This window comes from Homo sapiens, chromosome Y (genome assembly GCF_000001405.40).
Source record: "Homo sapiens chromosome Y, GRCh38.p14 Primary Assembly".
Classification (NCBI taxonomy): Eukaryota; Metazoa; Chordata; class Mammalia; order Primates; family Hominidae; genus Homo; species Homo sapiens.
In genome coordinates, this window is record NC_000024.10 from 1,589,205 (window position 1) to 1,608,968 (window position 19,764).

General features: G+C 56.2%; 1 protein-coding gene across 2 annotated transcripts, besides 1 other annotated feature; it reads left to right on the plus strand.

The window, feature by feature from the left end:
- AKAP17A (A-kinase anchoring protein 17A) lies at positions 2,400–13,316 on the plus strand. Of its 2 annotated transcripts, NR_027383.2 has the most exons (6): positions 2,400–2,565; positions 4,240–5,020; positions 6,180–6,328; positions 9,988–10,228; positions 10,934–11,003; positions 11,455–13,316. NR_027383.2 is itself a non-coding variant. In NM_005088.3 (5 exons), the coding sequence occupies exons 2-5, from the start codon at positions 4,259–4,261 to the stop codon at positions 12,388–12,390; spliced, it is 2,088 nt and encodes a 695-aa protein (NP_005079.2). In that variant the 5' UTR covers positions 2,400–2,565; positions 4,240–4,258; the 3' UTR covers positions 12,391–13,316. The 2 variants fall into 2 exon arrangements, 1 of the variants encoding a protein (NP_005079.2); NM_005088.3 differs by lacking the exon at positions 10,934–11,003.
- Positions 19,072–19,244: a silencer, noted in NCBI's record as "fragment chrX:1727169-1727341 (GRCh37/hg19 assembly coordinates)". NCBI's record gives its function as "represses an EF-1alpha promoter that drives an FKBP-Casp9 reporter gene in an ReSE screen in HepG2 liver carcinoma cells {active_cell/tissue: HepG2}" and the evidence as "EXISTENCE:reporter gene assay evidence [ECO:0000049][PMID:32094911]".

Below are 19,764 nucleotides of genomic sequence, written 5' to 3' on the forward strand. Positions count from 1 at the left end.
CTCCCTTCCCCTCCCCTCCTCTCCCTTCCCCTCCCTTCCCCTCCATTCCCCTCCCTTCCCCTCCCCTCCCCTTCTTTTGAGATGGAGTCTTCCTCTTGTCATCCAGGCTGGAGTGCAATGGCGCAATCTTGGCTCATTGCGACCTCCACCTCCCGGGTTCAAGCAATTCTCCTGCCTCAGCCTCCTGAATAGCTGGGATTACAGGTGCGCACCACCACGCCCAGCTAATTTTTGTATTTTTAGTAAAGACAGGGTTTCACCATGTTGGCCACAATTGTCTCAAACTCCTGACCTCAGGTGATCCACCCGCCTCGGCTTCCCAAAGTGCTGGGATTACAGGCATGAGCCACTGTACCCGGCCTAAATCACAGACTTTTATGTCTCACGGTTCTGGAGGCTGAGAGTCCAAGATCAATGAGTGGGAGGTTCAGTGTCTAGTGAGGACCCGCTTGCTGGTTCACAGGTGGTTCCTTCTGGCTGTGTCCTCACATGGTGGAAGGGGTGAGAGAGCTCTCTGGGGCCTGTCTTCTAAGAGCACAAATCCCACTCATGACCTAACCACCTCCTAAAAGCACCACCTCTAATACTCTTGCAGTGGGAACTGAGTTTGAACTTGAGTTTTGGAAGGACAGAAACATGGAAGGCATAGCAACCCTCTTACACAGCCCGGCCCCTCTGAAGCCTGCCTGGGTTCACAGAATGTTCCGTCTTCCTCAGGCCCCTGGTGTGTTGGCTTTCTCCTTTGTTGATAGCTGATGTTGAGCAATGCAAGATTTCTGTTCTGATTATCTGACCCTGGATATCCAGTTTGGGGACTTGTGACATATTTGGGACGTCAGAAGCACGTACCTCTCACATAGAGCATGGCATACTTAATAAACAATAAATTATAATAAAAAATGAATAATGCATTATAAATTATCATTACTTATTTATTTATTTATTGGAGACAGAGTCTCGCTCTGTTGCCCAGGATGGAGTGCAGTGGCGCCATCTTCGCTCACTGCAACCTCTGCCTCCTGGGTTCAAGTGATTCTCGGGCCTGCCTCAGCCTCCTGAGTAGCTGGGACTATAGGCAACCACCTCCACACCCGGCTAGTTTTTTGTCTTTTTAGTAGAGACGGGGTTTCACCATGCTGGCCAGGCTGGTCTTTTTTTTGTTTTGTTTTGACATGGAGTCTCGCTCTGTCAACCAGGCTGGAGTGCAGTGGCACGGTCTCACTGCAAGCCCCACCTCCCAGGTTCACGCCATTCTCCTGCCACAGCCTCCCGAGTAGCTGGTAGCTGGGACTACAGGTGCCCACCACCACGCCCGGCTGATTATTTTTTGTATTTTAGTAAAGACGGGGTTTCATCGTGTTAGCCAGGATGGTCTCGATCTCCTGACCTCATCATCCGCACATCTCGGCCTCCCAAAGTGCTGGGATTACAGGCATGAGCCACCGGGCCCGGCCCCAGGCTGGTCTTGAACTCCTGACCTTGTGATCTGCCCGCCTTGGCCCTCCAAAGTGCTGGCATTACAGACGTGAGCCACCGCACCTGGCCTCATTTATTATTTTGTAATCACATTATAAATTGTCATTTATTATTTCATAATTACATTATAAATGATCATTTCAGAATTACATTATATATTTTCATTTATTTCATAATTACACTATAGATTATCATTTATTATTCCAAAATTACATTATAAATTATGATTATATTATACAATAGCATTTGCTTCATAATTACATTAGATTATCATTTATTTTTAAATTACATTATATTTATTTCATAATTACATTATAAATTATCTTATAATTAGAAATGATCATTTATTTCATAATTGCAATATAAATTATTATTAATTTCATAATACCATTGTAAGTTATCATTTATTATTTCATAATTACATTATGTAATGGTATGCGTTAATAATTATTAATATACAATTAATAATTATTAACCATTCAATTAATAGTTAATTAACTAGCAATTTATATGTAATTCTATAATTACGTCATAGAATATGATATCTAATTTATACATAAATTATATTATTCAAGTATATTACCCATAATTTGCAAGTATAGTATAGAATCCCGTTATAGGATCCTATTACATTTTAGAATTTTGTTATATATATTTGACTCTACAATTGGAATTTAGACCCCACACCGGCCCCCCTCCTGTTTGGCTTAAGGGCTATGACCACAGACCCTGGCCCAAGTACCTCCCCTGGTTACCCGCAGGCAGGTGGCACCATGGGGGCGGGGCGGACTCGCGCACGCGCAGTGCAAAAGGTCGGGCTCCCGGAAGTCCCTCCTCCCGGGGGCGGAGCCAGGGCAAGAAGGAGAAACCCGGTGCTGCCGCGCGGCCTCTTCCGCGAGCCCGCGCGCCGGAAGTGGAAATGCGTCATAGAGGGCGGGCGGCGACGGCGGTGGCGGCGTCGGAGGCGCCTCCGGGGGACGGTGGCGGCTCCCGGCGGTGAGGCCGCGCCTGTCCGGGGATCGTCGAGGGACGGCGGGAGCTTGGGCCAGCGGCGGCGGCGGCCTGGGACGCAGGCGGAGCCCCGCGCAGGTGAGTGCCGCCCCCGTGCCTCCCGGGCCTGGCTGCAGCCGGCGAACGCTTCGCTCCTAGGGCCGGGCCCGGGGGGCCGGGGCTTGGGAGGCGGCGCCTAGGGGCCTCGGAGGTGACGGGGCTGGGGTTGGGGGGCGTGGGGTGCCACCGGGGGGCTGGGAGCGCCTGAAACTGTACGGGGGAATCGGGGGCTGGGGAGGTCTGCGGTCGGGGTCCGGGGGTCCCTGGAAGTAGGGGTAGGGGCTGGAGCGGTTCCTGGGACTGCACCGAAGGAGCTGAGGCCTGGAGCGGTGTCGGAGGGCTGGGAGCTCGGGGGATCGGATGGGCGGGAGACTAGGAGGCCTGGGACTAGGGGACGTGGCGCTGCGGTCGCTCCTAGGTCTACAGTGGGAAGCAAGGGGCTGTCCGGGGTTTTCGGAGGCTGGGGCGGTGCTGTGTAGGTTGGGGTATTGGGGCTCATCCAGGAGGGTGGTGGGGAGCGGGGAACTGAGGAGCTGAGGGTACCGAGTGGCCAAGGGCCTGAGAATGTGTGGGGCCCTGCCAGGGGTGCCAGCGGCAGCCTGAGGCCATGCTGGGGGGCTGCGGTAGGTGGGAATACCAGGGGCAATGCCGCGTACTGGGGATTGGGCAGCCAGGTGTACCGGGGTGGTCGGAGGGCGCTGGAGGCCAGAGTGGGGAGGGTTCCTCGGTGGTGAAGTTGCTGGGGCCGCTTGGGTTCTGGGGGAGGGTTCACTGGTCTCTGTCCAGACTGGAGCCCCTCCCTGGTGCCCCACTGACCTTTTCTGGTCGCTTCTCCACCCTCCCTCCCTTCTTTCGCACCTCCCACCTCGGGCTTGGGCGAGGAGGCCGTCTCCTGGGCCTGGCAGGAAGCCTCCAGGTTGATGGGGTGGGCGGCCGGGCCGGAGGCGGTCACCTGAGATGGTTGGGTTTCTGCGAGTGAAGCTTCCTCTACTTGGACTTGGCCGTCAGGAAGTGGCTGCCCGTCAGCTCAGCAGGGAAGAGGTGGGTTAATGAAGGTGGGCGGAGAAAGAAGGCGCAGACGGGGGACTCCGGCCCCTAACTTGTGGAAAGTTCGTTGTACTTTTTGGCTTTGAGTGGGTTAAAGCTGGGATACGTTTGGCCTTCGTGGAGATTACTAGGGTTCATGGTTCTGGATTGTTGTTGCAGCCCGAGACTTCCTGTTTTATCAGGGCAAGTACAGGGCCGCCGCCCCCTCCACAAAACCTTTCCAGATGCCTGCAGCTGTGCTCTCCCTGGCCCCTTCCCTTCCCCAGTGTCTCTCTGCCCCTTCCCGTGGAGCTAGGCGTTTGTAGCGTCCCCGTTCCTACTTGACCTGTGTGAGGGGCCTGGTCGTGCTCAGCTTCCTATTCTGCAGGCCTTGGGAGCTGCTGGCTGCTGGATGTAGGGTGTCGGGCAGTGCTGACCGAGGCTTTGACACTAACCTGTTCTTTATCAGCTCGGCTCTTTCCCCTTTGGTGTACTCTTAATGATTTCAAAAAGTAAAGAACTCCGTTGAGATGGCTGTTAACAAAGTGGAAACCGGTCTCTGACACGGCAGAGAGACACTGCTGTTTCTCTTCTCCGGGTCCAGAAAGTGCCTGCTGGCTTGGCCCCTCCTCATTGGCGGGGGAGGTGGGGGGTGCTGGTGCTGACTGTCTGCGTCTTATGTTTCAGGCCCAAGGTCCCGGAGGCTATGGCAGCGGCTACCATCGTGCACGACACGTCTGAGGCCGTGGAGCTCTGCCCTGCTTACGGCTTGTACCTGAAGCCCATCACCAAGATGACCATCAGCGTGGCACTCCCGCAGCTGAAGCAGCCGGGGAAGTCCATCTCCAACTGGGAGGTGATGGAGAGGCTGAAGGGCATGGTGCAGAACCACCAGTTCTCCACGCTGCGTATTTCCAAGAGCACCATGGACTTCATCCGCTTCGAGGGGGAGGTGGAGAACAAGAGCCTGGTCAAGTCTTTTCTGGCCTGCCTGGACGGCAAGACCATCAAGCTCAGCGGCTTCTCCGACATCCTGAAGGTGCGCGCGGCCGAGTTCAAGATCGACTTCCCCACCCGCCACGACTGGGACTCCTTCTTCCGCGACGCCAAGGACATGAACGAGACCCTGCCGGGGGAGCGGCCGGACACCATCCACCTGGAGGGGCTGCCCTGCAAGTGGTTCGCCCTGAAGGAGTCGGGCTCCGAGAAGCCCAGCGAGGACGTCCTGGTCAAGGTGTTTGAGAAGTTCGGGGAGATCCGGAATGTGGACATCCCCATGCTGGACCCCTACCGGGAGGAGATGACGGGCCGCAACTTCCACACCTTCAGTTTCGGGGGGCACTTGAACTTCGAGGCCTATGTGCAGTACCGCGAGTACATGGGCTTCATCCAGGCCATGAGCGCCCTGCGCGGGATGAAACTCATGTACAAGGGCGAGGACGGCAAGGCCGTGGCCTGCAACATCAAGGTGAGTCCTGGGCACCGAGAGAGCCACGCGCTTCCTCCCTCTGGCGACTTCCTTCCAGCAGGGTCAGCAGAACGCTCCCAGCCACACCCCTGAGGCTGTGGGGACCTCCCCTAAGTAAAATGGCAGCAACAGTCCTGTGCCTGTCCAATTTCAGAGGCACAGGCGTGAGGTGGAGTAGGGGTCCCGTGCTGTGGTTTTGGAAATTTGGTATCTTAAGGAAGATGTGGGGGAGACACAGGTCATATAGTAGGTGAGGGATGGAGCCTCAGGAACTCTGACAGGGATTTGAACCGTGTCAGAACCAAGAGAACCCGGCCTTCCCAGAATGCACCTTGAAACCAGGGCTGAACGTTCCCTTTAGCCTCATGTGCTTTTTTATTTTTTTTATTTTTTTTATTTTTATTTTTTTTTCGAGGCAGAGTCTCGATCTGTTTCCTGGACTGGAGTGCAGTGGCGCAATCTTTGCTCAGTGCATCCTCCGCCTCCTGGGTTCGAGCGATTCTTCTGCCTCAGCCTCCCGAGTAGCTGGGACTACAGGCGCGTGCCATCACACCTGGCTAATTTTTGTATTTTTAGTAGAAACAGGGTTTTGCCGTATTGGCCAGGCTGGTCTCGAACTCCTGACCTCATGAACTGCCTGCCTCGCCCTCCCAAAGTGCTGGGATTACAGGCGTGAGCCACTGCGCTCAGCCTAGCCTCGTGTTTTGACCGTGTTGGCTTCACAGTGACAAATGAGCCAGCCTCCTGGAGGGGGTTTTGTGGCCTTAAGATGTGCCCTGTGGGTGTGGGCAGGCGGCCTGCTCAGTGACTGTGGCCACAGGGAATGGTGGAGCCGGGTAGCGGAAGGGGAGCTGTGTCTCGCAGCGGTGGCGTGTCACTTGTGTTCAGTAAGTGGCGAGGGCTAGTTGGTGTTCCTCGCTGAGTCGTAACTCCGTGGGATGAGCTAAGTCTTGAGCCACTGATGGTGACTTGAAGGGATTGGTTTGGCTTCTGGGCTCCACTGTCTGGGTCTGCACCGGACATGAGTGGTGAGCGGTGAGCGGTGAGCGGGCGCTCAGGCTCTGAGGCCACTCGGCCCTACGGCCCAGGAGAGGGCGCCTGGCCGTGTGTCTGGGGGGTTTTGGGGGAAGGCCATCTGACACTGTTTTTGCTTTTAAAGGTTTCTTTTGATTCGACCAAACACCTGAGTGATGCCTCAATTAAGAAGCGGCAGCTGGAGAGGCAGAAGCTTCAGGAACTGGAGCAGCAAAGAGAAGAACAAAAGCGCAGAGAGAAGGAAGCGGAGGAGAGGCAGCGAGCGGAGGAAAGGTACCTTCTGCGGGAGCGGGCCCTCGGCGCTGGTGTCCGGCACCTGGGAGTGTGCGCAGACCCGTGTGCGTGTGTCTGCATGTATTCCTGTGCGTGTGTGTGTGCATGCATGCTTGTGAGCTTGTGTGTGTACCTGTGTGCATGGACGCACGTGTGCCTGTGAACCGGTGTGTGTACTTTGTATGTCCCTATGTGCGCCCGAGTGTGTGCCTGAGCATCTGTGTGCACGTGTGCCTGTGTGTGCGTGCATGTGTGTGAGCTCGTGTGTGTACCTGTGTGTGTATGTGCACGTGTGCCCACATGTGTGTGCTTCTGTATCGGCACATAGCACACATGTGCCTGTGTGCATGCGTGTGTGCCTGTGAACCCGTGTGTGTACTTGTGTGTGCACGTATGGGTGTGTGTGCAGGCCTGTGGGTGCTCAGCTGTGCACGTGAGGACCTGCGTGAGTGGCTGTTTGAGACGCAGCAGAATATGAATGTTTCTCTTTTTCTTGTCACACGTCGTGGTCTGACACGATCTCTGCCGGCTCCCAGGACCGCGCCTTGCCCGAAGAGCCACCTCTTCTCCCTCCACATGCTGTTCACACCTCCCGCTGAAACAAGCAGAATGCCTTGGCTGTTTGCAAGTTTGCATTTAGGTTGAGGCTACATTTACAAAATGAAGTAGAGGGTTGATGGTGATGGCCAGATTTAAAAAAAAAAAAAAAAACAAAAAACCAATGATAGGACAAAAACCCGGTTTCACATAAGAGGCCTTTAAAGCAATTGCCTGGGTCGTTCACTGTGGTTGGGGTACCAGAGACAACCTCAGGTCACTCTTTGTAGCCCCTTTTATCTTCTTAGCATTGCAGGAGGGAACCAACAACTTTCTGTGAATCCCCTGAGGCGGAATCCTCCTCCTCCTCCTCCTCCTCCATCCCTCCCACCCTCCTAGTGAGGTGGATTCCTCCTCCTCCTCCTCCATCCCTCCCACCCTCCTAGTGAGGCGGAATCCTCCTCTTCCTCCTCCATCCCTCCCACCCTCCTAGTGAGGTGGATTCCTCCTCCTCCTCCTCCATCCCTCCCACCCTCCTAGTGAGGTGGATTCCTCCTCCTCCTCCTCCATCCCTCCCACCCTCCTAGTGAGGTGGATTCCTCCTCCTCCTCCTCCATCCCTCCCACCCTCCTAGTGAGGTGGATTCCTCCTCCTCCTTCTCCGTCCCTCCCACCCTCCTAGTGAGGTGGATTCCTCCTCCTCCTCCTCTTCCTCCTCCATCCCTCCCGCTGTGCCCTCCTAGTGAGGCGGATTCGTCCTCTTCCTCCTCCATCCCTCCTGCCGTGTCCTCCTAGTGAGGTGGATTCCTCCTCCTCCTTCTCCGTCCCTCCCACCCTCCTAGTGAGGCGGAATCCTCCTCCTCCTACTCCTCTTCGTCCTCCGTCCCTCCCGCTGTGTCCTCTGACGACTTTGGTGCGTCCTGCACGTCTGTTGCGCTTCATGTCGCCGATATCAAGTCTGGGACGTGTTGGACTTGGCTGGGGGGCTCCTGGACAGCCTCTGGTGGGACCGAGTTGGTCCGTTTTGTTTCCATTTCTCACTGCTTTATGTGACGCTGGTGCCAGCGTGTTGATGTGTGTGGCTGGTGATGTTTGCACGAGAGTCCCGGCACTGAACTCCTGGGAGCAGGTCCATCCTGCCCGTGGTGTTCTTTACGTAGCCCCCGTTGCCTCCCCAGGGGAGAGTCGGGTTGTCAGCCTCTGAATCTGAACCCCGAGGGCTCCTTAGGTGAGGCAGGTGCAGTGTGTAAGCGAGTGGCCGTGAATGTGCTGGGGGGGCCCATGTCAGCCGTCAGGATTCCCAGGACCTAAGGCAGGCAGCACAGAGAGGCAGACGCCCTGGGAGGGAGGGACATGCTGCTGCGTCGCCATCCTGGGAGGCGGTCCCTGGGAGGGGCGGTTCGGATGTGGGGTTGAGTCCGGGTCCCCTGTGTCAGCCACTGTCAGGCCGAGCAGGACAGCTGGGGTGGGAGACAGTCCTGGGGCGTTACAGGGACTCTTCCAGGCTGCAGACACAGCCCAGGCCTGGCTGAATGTGCCTGTCCACATTCTGGAAGTGTGGAGTGGGACTCAGAGCCTCGGACCTCTCGGTGTCGCAGGAGTGTCCCCGCAACATTTCAGAAAGCAGCTTGCGGGTGCGGAGAAGAAGCTGCATCCTTGATCTTTCCCTGAGGAGAGATGGACGTTGGAGTAGTGGAGTGTGTCTCTGCAGGGAAGGGACCCCGTCTGCCTGGCCAGACCACAGAGGGATTGGGGGAAGCGGGGCCGGGCCATGAGGTTCTCGAGAGCAGGATGGGGTGTCCAGAGCCCCGGGGAGGGGCAGGCCTGTTGTCTGGGGGAGCTGGCCAGGAGGGCTCCACACGCAGGGCCGTACTTGTCCCCGCTGTCCCCCACTGTCCTTCCTCAGAGGCTGAGCATGAGGGGAGGCCCAGGGCAGCCTCCTGCATTTCTTTCTGGTGGGTGGAGATGAGGCATGTTTGCTTGTTCAGCCCTCACGTGTAACTTTGAGCTTGATGAGAGCTGTCCTCTGAAAGCTGCCCAGCCTCGAGGCGTCGCTGTGGGTCCCGCCTAAGGGCGTGCTGTGTGCTGGGCTGCCCTGAGCCGCCCTCCGAGCTCGTGGGGCGGTGACAGCTCACAGGGCGGTTAAACCTTCAGCACATGAAACTGCCTGAGGACCTGCATGCCCCGCCCGGAGACCGTGTGGATCACTGTCTGGGCGTCGGCACCTGGCCCGGCCCCCTTCTTGGGGTGGCAGAGCGTGGGATGCCTTTTCTCCCGGCCTGCTCCTCCTTGTCCCCGTGTCTCCTCTCCCCTTGGTGTCTGCGTGGGTCTGTGTCACCCCGGCGGGCTTTGTGGCCTCACTAGGCGGTTGGCGGCGCCCACCCGGGCTTCAGAAGTCTCCGCCTCCGTGTCGTGTTCCATAGGAACAGCTGCGACTTGTTCCCATGTCCGGTGTTGGTTGAAATGCATTTGAGAGCTGCGGGGCGGGGGAGGCTGAGCTAGGGAACTCCCCACTGTCTCTTGTGGACTCTCTCTGGGGACCGCGCCCCTCCCCGGCCGCATTCATCCTCACTTCCTGGACACCCCTCTCCACAGGAAAAGTGCAAGGAGCTGAGTGGCGTGGCTGTGGTTGGATTTGTTTAGAGAGAGGTCCCCCCGTGCCAGTGCTGTGTGGTGCCCTCACAGGAGTCCTGCACAACAAGGAGTCACCCAGCGCGGTTCCTGGTGGGCAGAACCGGCGTCCTCCGCGCCGCTGTGCATCCCGGGGCCTTGTTGGGCCTGCTGGGGTTCCTCTTTCACCCGTCCGTCTGCCCATCCGTCTTTCCCCTGACTGGGGGCGTGGCTTTTGATGTGGTCGGTCCAGTGGTCGTTTTCTTCGTGGTTTCAGGGTTGGGTCACACTTAGCAGGACGGTGTGTTGGAAGGTCACGGAGGTCCTCGCCCGGCTCACTCCTTCCACCTCTCGGGCTGCTTTGAGTCAACCGAGGTCCACCTTGGGATAAAGAGTTAAATGCTTAATCGTTGGACCGTGGCCTGTTCCGCCGTGTTTGGAAAGCCGCTTGTATGGTGTGTGGTGTGTTGGCTGCGGCGCTCTCTGTGACCACCCCCGGTGTGTTCCACACAGGAAACAAAAGGAGCTGGAAGAGCTGGAGCGAGAGAGGAAAAGAGAAGAGAAGCTTCGCAAGAGGGAGCAGAAGCAGAGGGACCGTGAGCTGCGCCGGAATCAGAAGAAGCTGGAGAAGCTGCAGGCGGAGGAGCAGAAGCAGCTGCAGGAGAAGATCAAGCTGGAGGAGCGCAAGCTGCTGCTGGCCCAGAGGAACCTGCAGTCCATCCGGCTCATCGCCGAGCTGCTCAGCAGAGCCAAGGTACCCGGGGGCTCCCTCTGCAGCCGCCAGCCGCGCCCGGGCTGCCCTCAGTGCCCTCCCCTGAAATGCGGGCGGCGTCACGGCGCCGTTTCCCCGCCGGCTGCAGCTGTAGCTACGAAACCAGCTTTAATGCCGAGGATGACGGCTCCTTCCCGGGAGGGTGTAGCGCTCGTCTGTCGTTCCCGATGATTTCAGAGCTGTGACGGTTTCCTTTTGCAAAGCTGGTGCATTCAGGTTCCCCGAGCAGGCTGGCAGCCTCCCGGGGGCCAGGGCAGAGGCTCTCTGTTTCCTTTGGGTCGGGGCAGTGGCAGAGAGTGCAGGGGGCCGCTCCCTCTGGCCCGCGCCTCTGTGTGTGGTCAGCTGGCCTGGCTGTGACCTCACCAGTGGCCCAGAGCAGAGGGGCAAGGTGGGCTGGGGGGAGGGCTGAGCGCACAGAGGGGGCCTGCCGTGGGCCCGGGTCCCTCCTCCGCAGCGTGAACCTGACAGGTCTCACCAGCGCCGGTACTGACGACCCCCTCAGCACCAAGAGCCTCCCTGCTCCTCCTGCAGGCGCGACTGGTAACTCCCATGAGCCCGGGGCCAGGGCCCACAGACAGACAGACCTCCCCAGGACAGACGTCCCCGGCACGCTCCTTGTCCTCAGGAGGGCTGCGTCCCCCTGGAGTCCAACGCGGGGCGACCCCATAACCTGTTGTCTGATTACAGTTGTGATAAGTCCCCGGGAAGGAGCATGACAAGAGGCTGAGACATGTGGCAGCCCAGTCCTTACCTCATGGTGAATATTGAAGACACTAACCCAGGCTAGGCCAGGCTCGCCCCGCAGCTACGGCGGTGGCATGCGTCTGCGGCGTCATCTCAGCTCCCTGTTGCTGGCGGCCGCTTGTGACCTAACCGCAGGCGCCTGTGTGCAACGTGGTGGGGCTCCCGGCAGGGCTCGGCTCTGCCCAAGAGGCCCGCCCTGGGGCTGCGCCGAGCCGCTTTGCCAAGGGGTTTCCTTCTCACTCAGACGCATGATGGCCCCAGGTGTGGCCGCGGGAGCCGAGGGATGGACGGGCTGGACCTGGCTCGCCGTAGGAGACGCCCCCCACCCCTGGGCTGGAGTCCAGCCAGGCCGCTGATCCTGCATCCCCAGACCATGGGGCCTCCAAACACCTTCCCAGCTCCTGTCCCACGTGTCCGGCCAGGCTCAGGAACCGGGCTCAGCTGCACTTTCCTCTTCCCCGCAGGCTGTGAAGCTACGGGAACAGGAGCAGAAGGAGGAGAAGCTGAGGCTCCAGCAGCAGGAGGAGCGGCGGCGGCTGCAGGAGGCCGAGCTGCGGCGCGTGGAGGAGGAGAAGGAGCGCGCGCTGGGCCTGCAGCGGAAAGAGCGGGAGCTGCGCGAGCGGCTGCTGAGCATCCTGCTGAGCAAGAAGCCGGACGACAGCCACACACACGACGAGCTGGGCGTGGCACACGCCGACCTGCTGCAGCCCGTCCTGGACATCCTGCAGACCGTGTCGTCCGGCTGTGTGAGCGCCACCACGCTGCACCCCCTCGGGGGCCAGCCCCCGGCCGGTGCCCCCAAGGAGAGCCCGGCCCACCCAGAGGCCGACGGCGCTCCCAAAAGCGTGAACGGGAGCGTGGCCGAGGAGGCCCCATGCAAGGAGGTTCAGAGCTCCTGTCGTGTGGTCCCCGAGGATGGCTCTCCAGAGAAGAGGTGCCCGGGCGGCGTCCTCTCCTGCATTCCTGACAACAACCAACAGCCCAAGGGCATCCCTGCCTGCGAGCAGAATGTCTCCAGAAAGGACACCCGGTCAGAACAGGACAAGTGCAACCGGGAGCCCAGCAAGGGCCGGGGCCGGGCCACCGGAGACGGGCTTGCTGACCGGCACAAGCGGGAGAGGAGCCGGGCCAGGCGGGCCAGCAGCAGGGAGGACGGGAGGCCACGCAAGGAGCGGCGGCCCCACAAGAAGCACGCCTACAAGGATGACAGCCCCCGCCGGCGCAGCACGAGCCCGGACCACACCCGGTCCCGGAGGTCCCACAGCAAAGACAGGCACCGGAGGGAGCGGAGCCGGGAGCGGAGGGGCAGCGCCAGCAGGAAGCACAGCCGCCACCGCCGCCGAAGCGAGCGGTCGCGCTCCCGGTCCCCGAGCAGGCACCGCAGTACCTGGAACAGGTAATGACGGGCACGGCCTCCCCACGGCCTGTCCGGGAAAGACCAGGACCTGCTCGAGCCTCCTGGCCGCTCCTTGGCCGCTCTCCGTCCACCCCTGCAAAGCCAAGACCCTTCTGCAGCCACGAATGTCCACGGAGCCCGCCGGCAGGAAGGAAGACACCATGCTTTAGAGATCCATCTTTCTCCACTCACCGCAGCGTACTTGGCACTTCAGTTTCAAACACGTAGTCCTTTAAAACTTGATCCGATAGCTTTAATGCGGCCGGTCCTCTCTCAGTCAGGAAAATTGCACAGACCGACAGTCGTGAGGATGGCAGAGCTGCTGCATTCCCCCACACGGGGATTTCTGTGTCTGCTTGGCGACCTCCCTGCGTGCACGGCCTAGGAGGTGCACGGGCCACCATAGTCACACTGGCACTGAAAAGAAAGCGTTGCCCTGGTGATTCTTTCCCCCCCGTTTGTAATGTTAACTGATCAGGAAGTGCAGTTTGGGTGGGATGCCGAATCGTCGTGCTGACATTGAGTCACGGATGAGGAAGGTACAAGTCCTTTAAGATCAAAACTCAAACGGGCCGTTCTTTCTAAGGTGTCGGTATGTGGGGAGTGGTACAAAATGGTCTGATGCTCCTTCAAAAACATTCACTTTTTACAACGTCAAGGAATTAAGCATAAAAAAGATTGGTTAAAAGCTTTGGTTTCTAGTAAAGGTTAGTGTGTGTGGTTTTTTTAAGAAGCTGTTTTGCTAAATTATTTTTACTTGGAATGTTTCAAACAGATTTCAGGCTGCAAACTTGTTTTATAATCGTTTGCTTCTCCAAGTGAAGCTCAGAAATACCTAAAAATAGCTGTAACGTTCGCGTTAGGAAAGATGGTGTTTATTCCAGTTTGCATTTTTATGGTGAAATAAAATCCTTTTCCAATGAACTAAAATTTTTCACGCTTACGATTTTTGTGTTTTTATGTTCCTTGGACTGCATTATTCAGCTGAGGCTAGCCAAGTGTGCGTGAAACCAGTAGAGATCGTTCGCTTTTCCTAGAACTGCTGATTCAACGATGACATATCCCACAGCTCTCCCGCAGCTGTACGGTAGTAACCTTCTGAGAGGAGAATCCTGGCTCTTAAGAGGCATCTGATTTGTTTGCTGAGAACATAAACTTAGCCAAATTCCCAAAACCAATCTTTTTTAAAGCCAAGGAGCTGTTTTTAAAGCAAATTTAAAAGACGGTCGTTCTTTTTTTTTTTTTGAGCCGGAGTCTCGCTCTGTGACCCAGGCTGGAGTGCAGTGGCACGATCTCAGCTCACTGCGAGCTCCGCCTCCCGGGTTCACACCATTCTCCTGCCTCGGCCTCCCGAGTAGCTGGGACTATAGGCGCCCGCCACCGTGCCCAGCCAATTTTTTTGTATTTTTTAGTAGAGACAGGGTTTCACGGTGTTAGCCAGGATGGTCTCGATCTCCTGACCTCGTTATCCGCCTGCCTTGGCCTCCCAAAGTGTTGGGATTACAGGCGTGAGCCACCGCGCCCGGCCAAAGACGGTTCTTTTCCCCGCCTAAAGTAGTGGTCACAGGTAGCGTAGGCACTGCCTGCTTGACCCAGGGTGGAATAGTCTGTTCCTCTGTTTAATTAAAACACAAACGTTCTTGGGGACTGGAGGGCTGGACACGTGCCTGTTGCACCCCCAAGCTCATATCACTAGCAGACAGATGAGCACTACACACACACCTTTCTCTCAAACGGCTCTGTCTGGCCTGAGACCAACTGACAAGATGCGTCCAGACACAGAGTGTTTGCAAACACGGACCTCTCAGAAGTCTGCATCTGGCCGGGCGCGGCAATTCAAGCCTGTCATCCCAGCACTTTGGGAGGCCGAGGCGGGCAGATCACGAGATCAGGAGATCGAGACCATCCTGGCTAACACAGTAAAACCCCGTCTCTACTAAAAATACAAATTAGCCAGGCGTGGTGGCGGGTGCCTGTAGTCCCAGCTACTCGGGAGGCTGAGGCAGGAGAATGGCGTGAACCGGGGAGGTGGAGCTTACAGTGAGCCGAGATCGCGCCACTGCACTCCAGCCTGGGCGACAGAGCGAGACTCCTGTCAAAAAAAAAAAAAAAAGCTGTGTATCTGTGTCAGTCTGTCCAGCCCAGCACTGAGCTTTTTGCCTGTTCAGTAGTTATTAGAGCGTTGCCAGGGCCGGGCATGGTGGCTCACACCTGTTATCCCAGCACTTTGGGAGGCCGAGGTAGGTGGATCACCTGAGGTCAGGAGTTCAAGACCAGCCTGGCCAACATGGTGAAACCCCGTCTCTACTAAAAACACAAAAAACTAGCCGGGCGTGGGGATGGTCACCTGTAATCCCAGCTACTCGGGAGGCTGAGGTAGGAGAATCGCTTGAATCTGGGGGGCAGAGGTTGCAGTGAGCCGAGATCACGCCACTGCACTCCAGCCTGGGCGACAGAGCGAGACTCCATCTCAAAAACAAACAAACAAACAAACAACGTTGCTAGGACCAGGTGTTGCTCTGGGCACCTGGGATATGGTGCTGGAAAAGACAGCACTCCCTGCAACGCTGAGGAATGTGTAGATACAGGGATGAGAAGTCCCAGTGATAGCTTCTCGAGAGAGCTGTGTGCGCAAGACAGAAGGGTGGACGTGGTGTGTCTGAGGTCAAGAAGTGCATGTGGCCGGGGGAAGGAGTAGGCAGAAGAGAAGCAGGAAAGGTGGACATGGAGCTGATCGCACTCATGAGGCTGACCCACTCCAGACTTTTGGGACGAGAAGCAAGAGGGGCTGTAAGCTGGGAGTGTGATGAGTGTGGCGGCTTGAAGTGCTGGTGGACTGGGCTAGGGGTTGATGGGAGAGAAGGTGGCAGAAATTGAATGCGTGTTGCCTTGTGATATGTTAGATGTGGGCAGTCTAGGAAAGCTGGAGAGCACCACCCCCAGGCCTATAGAATTGGGTATCTATGGAAGAGATTTAGGAATCTGAACTCCTTTTCTCTGTTTTCTCTTTTGTCTATCGCTCGTGCTCTCTCTCTCTCTCCTTCCTTCCTTCCCTCCCTCCCTTTCTTTTCCTTTTCTTTCCTTTTCTCTTTCTTTTTTCCTTTCCTTCCTTCCCTCTTTCCTATTTCTCTTTTATTTTTTGAGACGAATTCAAAAATTCTAAAATTTTTGAATTTTTAAGTAGAGGCAGGGTTTCTTCATGTTGGCCAGGCTGGTCTTGAACTCCTGACCTCAGGAGATCCACCAGCCTCGGCCTCTCAAAGTGCTGGGATTACAGGCGTGAGCCACCGCGCCCGGCTGAAATTTCTCTTCTTTGCTGTAGGGGTCAGTAGCAGTAAGTAGCGGCTGATAGGTGAGAATGGAGATTAATTGAAGCAACGCTGTTACTGATTAGATTTTGTCTTTACACTTGAGCCTGGAAGGAAGAAATGGAAGCATTCGACCCGAGGAATGTTGCCCCACAGATTTCTGGGGGGAGCATAGGAGATTGGTGTGTGCGTGCCCTGCCCTCCTCCCTCTCTCAACCCCTGTCAGTCTCTCCCCTGTTTTTCCCTGCTGTCTCTTCTCTCGCCCAGCTTCCCCTCTGCTTGTACTCTCTTCTGATCTCTGTTTTTGTCTCTGTCTCTCCTCCTTTCTTTTTTTTCTTTCTTTTTTTTTTTTTTGAGATGGAATCTCACCGTTGCCCAGGCTGGAGTGCAGTGGCGCGATCTCGGCCCAGTGCAACCTCCGCCTCCTGGGTTCAAGCAATTCTCTGCCTCAGCCTCCCAAGTAGCTGGGATTACAGGCACCTGCTGCCATGCCCGGCTAATTTTTTGTATTTTTGGTAGAGACGAGGTTTCACCATCTTGGCCAGGCTGGTCTTGAACTCCTGACCTCGTGATCCACCTGTCTTGGCCTCCCAAAATGCTGGGATTATAGGCGTGAGCCACCGCTCCCGGCCTGTCTCTCCTCCTCTCTTAATCCTTCCTTCTCTCCTCTCGCCCAGCTTCCCCTCTGCTTGCCCTCTCTCCCTATCTCTATTTTAGTCTCTCTTTGTCTCTCTCGGTCTTGTGATTTAGGGCACTTTGTGTTCAGTCCCTTTCTAGTGATTGGGATTATTATCCACTTAAAATATCCACAATAGGCCGGGTGCAGTGGCTCATCCCTGTAATCCCAGCACGTCGGGAGGTCGAGGCTGGTGGATCTCCTGAGGTCAGAAGTTCAAGACCAGCCTGACCAACATGGAGAAACCCTGTCTCTACTAAAAATACAAAAATTAGCCAGGCGTGTTGTCACATGCCTATAGTCGCAGCTACTCAGCAGGCTGAGGCAGGAGAATTACTTGAACCTGGGGGGCGGAGATTGCGGTGAGCTGAGATCGCACCATTGCACTCCAGCTTGGGCGACAAGAGTGAAACTCTGTCTCACAAAAAATAAAAAATAAAAAATAAAAATCCACAAGGAATTTCACTTCCATGTGGCAGAACAGAAAACGAATGGATTTATTGCAAAATACGAGTGAGAAAGTGTGATTCTCTCGTTCATACCCTTTTATGACACTTAGTTCTGAACCGATTTGCCTCGTGTCTTCAGTTGGGATCTCAGGATCTCTTTCAGCCAAAAAAATCAAACTTCCCTGTTGAGTATGGCCTGTGTCACGGTGACCATCCTCGGCTCCTTCCGTTTTTTTGTTTTTTTTCAAGACAGTCTCGCTCCGTCGCCCAGGCTGGAGTGCAGTGGCACAATCTCGGCTCTCCACAACCTCCGCCTCCCGGGTTCAAGTGATTCTCCTGCCTCAGCCTCCCAAGTAGCTGGGATTACAGGTGTCTGCCACCACACCTGGCTATTTTTTTTTTTTTTAATTTTTAGTAGAGATGGGGTTTCACCAGGTTGACCAGGCTGGTCTCAAGCTCCTGACCTCAGGTGATCCACCTGCCTCCCAAAGTGCTGGGAATATAGGCATCAACCACCGCACCCAGCCTCACCAGGTAAACTTTCAAGTTCAAAAGTGCAGCTTGGAATTCCAGAGGGAAGGAGGATGGGGATACGGGTACGTGTGAATAAAGCAGCGCTGTGTCTACGATTCCACTCTCTGTGCTCACGTGAACACATTACTCAGCTCCCACTCAGAAGTGAGAACACGCTGCGTTTGACTTTCTGTGTCTCTGTGATTTCAATTAAAGTAACGGCCTCCAGGGTAACGAAACTGCACTTCTATGCCCTAAATCTATAATAATACATCAAGGTAAAAAAAAAAAAAATGGGCCAGGTGCAGTGGCTGACGCCTGTCATCCCAGCACTCTGGGAGGCTGAGGCAGGCAGATCACCCGAGGTCAGGAGTTCCAGACCAGCCCAGCCAACACGGTGAAACCCCATCTCTACTAAAAATACAAAAATTACCTGGACATGGAGGTGCGTGCCTGTAGTCCCAGCTACTCGGGAGGCTGAGGCAGGAGAATCGCTTGAACCCGGGAGGCGGAGGTTGCAGTGAGCCGAGATCACCCCACTGCACACCAGCCTGGATGACAGAGTGAGATTCCATCTCAAATAAATAAATAAATAAATAAAATGTATTTCAAAAGTGCCAATATGACATGAACTGCTGTTAATTTGTTCACCTGTATTGTTAAAATGGGTGAATACGGTTACCAGATTGTGATCATGTTCAAATTCCATAGGCCGCAGCCTTCGGGATGAAGCAAAGAGTTTTTGAAAAATTACATATTCTATGTCTAAAATGGCACCATCTGCATTTTTGAAAAATTTTAGATAATATTACAAATGCGTAGGTTGGCTCATGCCTGTAATCCCAGCACTCTGGGAGGCCGAGGCAGGAGGATAGCTTGAGCCCAGGAGTTTGAGAACAGCCTGGGCAACATAGCAAGACCCCATCTCTACAAAGATAATTAATCAGGCTTGGTGGCAGGCACCTGTAGTCCCAGCTACTCAGGAGGCTGAGGCAGGAGGATTGACTGAGCCCAGGCATTCGAGACCAGCCTGGGCAACATGGTGAGAGCTTGTCTCTAGCAAACATACAGAAACTTTAAAGTTTTTAAAGTAGCTGGGCGTGGTGGTGGGTGCCTGTGGCCCCAGCTACTCGGGAGGCTGAGGCAGGAGGATCGCTTGACCCCAGGAGTTCAAGGCTGCAGGGAGAAATGATGGTGCCCCTGCACTCCAGCCTGAGCGACAGAGTGAGACCCCATCTCTAAAAGAGAGACCCTCTGTCTCTAAAAAGAAAAACAGACCGGGCGCGGTGGCTCACGCCTGTAATCCCAGCACTTCGGGAGGCCCAGGCGGGCGGATCACGAGGTCAGGAGATCGAGACCATCCTGGCTAACACGGTGAAACCCCGTCTCTACTAAAAATACAAAAAAAACTAGCCGGGCGTGGTGACGGGCGCCTGTGGTCCCAGCTACTCCGGAGGCTGAGGCAGGAGAACGGTGTGAACCCGGGAGGCGGAGCTTGCAGTGAGAGGCGATTGCGCCACTGCACTCCAGCCTGGGCGACAGAGCGAGACTCCATCTCAAAAAAAGTAAAACAATAAAGAGTATAGAAAAACATGCATGCATGGGGGGTATAGGAGAGGTCCCAGCCCTCAGCCGTAGCCATGGATGTCCAGGTGGTGATGTGTTGCCCTGGCCCGCCCCGCAGGCCTCCAGCATCTCCAACAGCGGCTTCCCAGGGGATGCTGAAGCTGCGGCCGGACCGGCCAGCTCGGGCAGGGGTGAGCGGAGCTGCATCACCCAGGCATCCCGTCTGGGACCTCCTCCCATGCCTCCTTCCTGGGCACCTGCCCCTCCTCACTAGCTCATCCTCCTTCCCACCTGGTGGAGGACACGCACACCCTCCTGGTGGCGTCCTCAAGCCCCGTCCACCTGCCCAGGAGCTGGGGCATCCTGTGTCTCCCGCCTTGCTCTCCTGCACAGCCTGACTCAGAGCGGGAGCTCGACCCCCTACCCTCCCCGCTGTACGCTGCCCCAGCAAACCTCCCGAGTTTGCACCCGGCCACTGGATCGGCCTGCACAGGGGCTGCCGCCTCCGTCCCAGATGGCAGGGGCTTTTCCCTGCACCCCACCTCACTCAGCTCATGCCTCTGCTCCTGGTGAAAAACTTTTCCCATCACTCCGTCCCGTCCCCTCTCTGCAGCAAATGACTCTTGTCCAGGCTGTCCAGGCTGCCAGAGACCACCGAGGCACTCAGTCCGGAAGCCCATCTGTGCCAGGGTCATTGGGAGGTAAAGGCAACAGGCTTTACCTCTCCAGGCCACCCCTGCGCCTACTCCAGCTAAGACTCCAGGCCACCCCTGACCCTACTCCAGCCAAGCCTCCAGGTCACCCCTGCCCCTACTCCAGCCAAGCCTCCAGGTCACCCCTGTCCCTACTCCAGGGGCTGAGCGCGG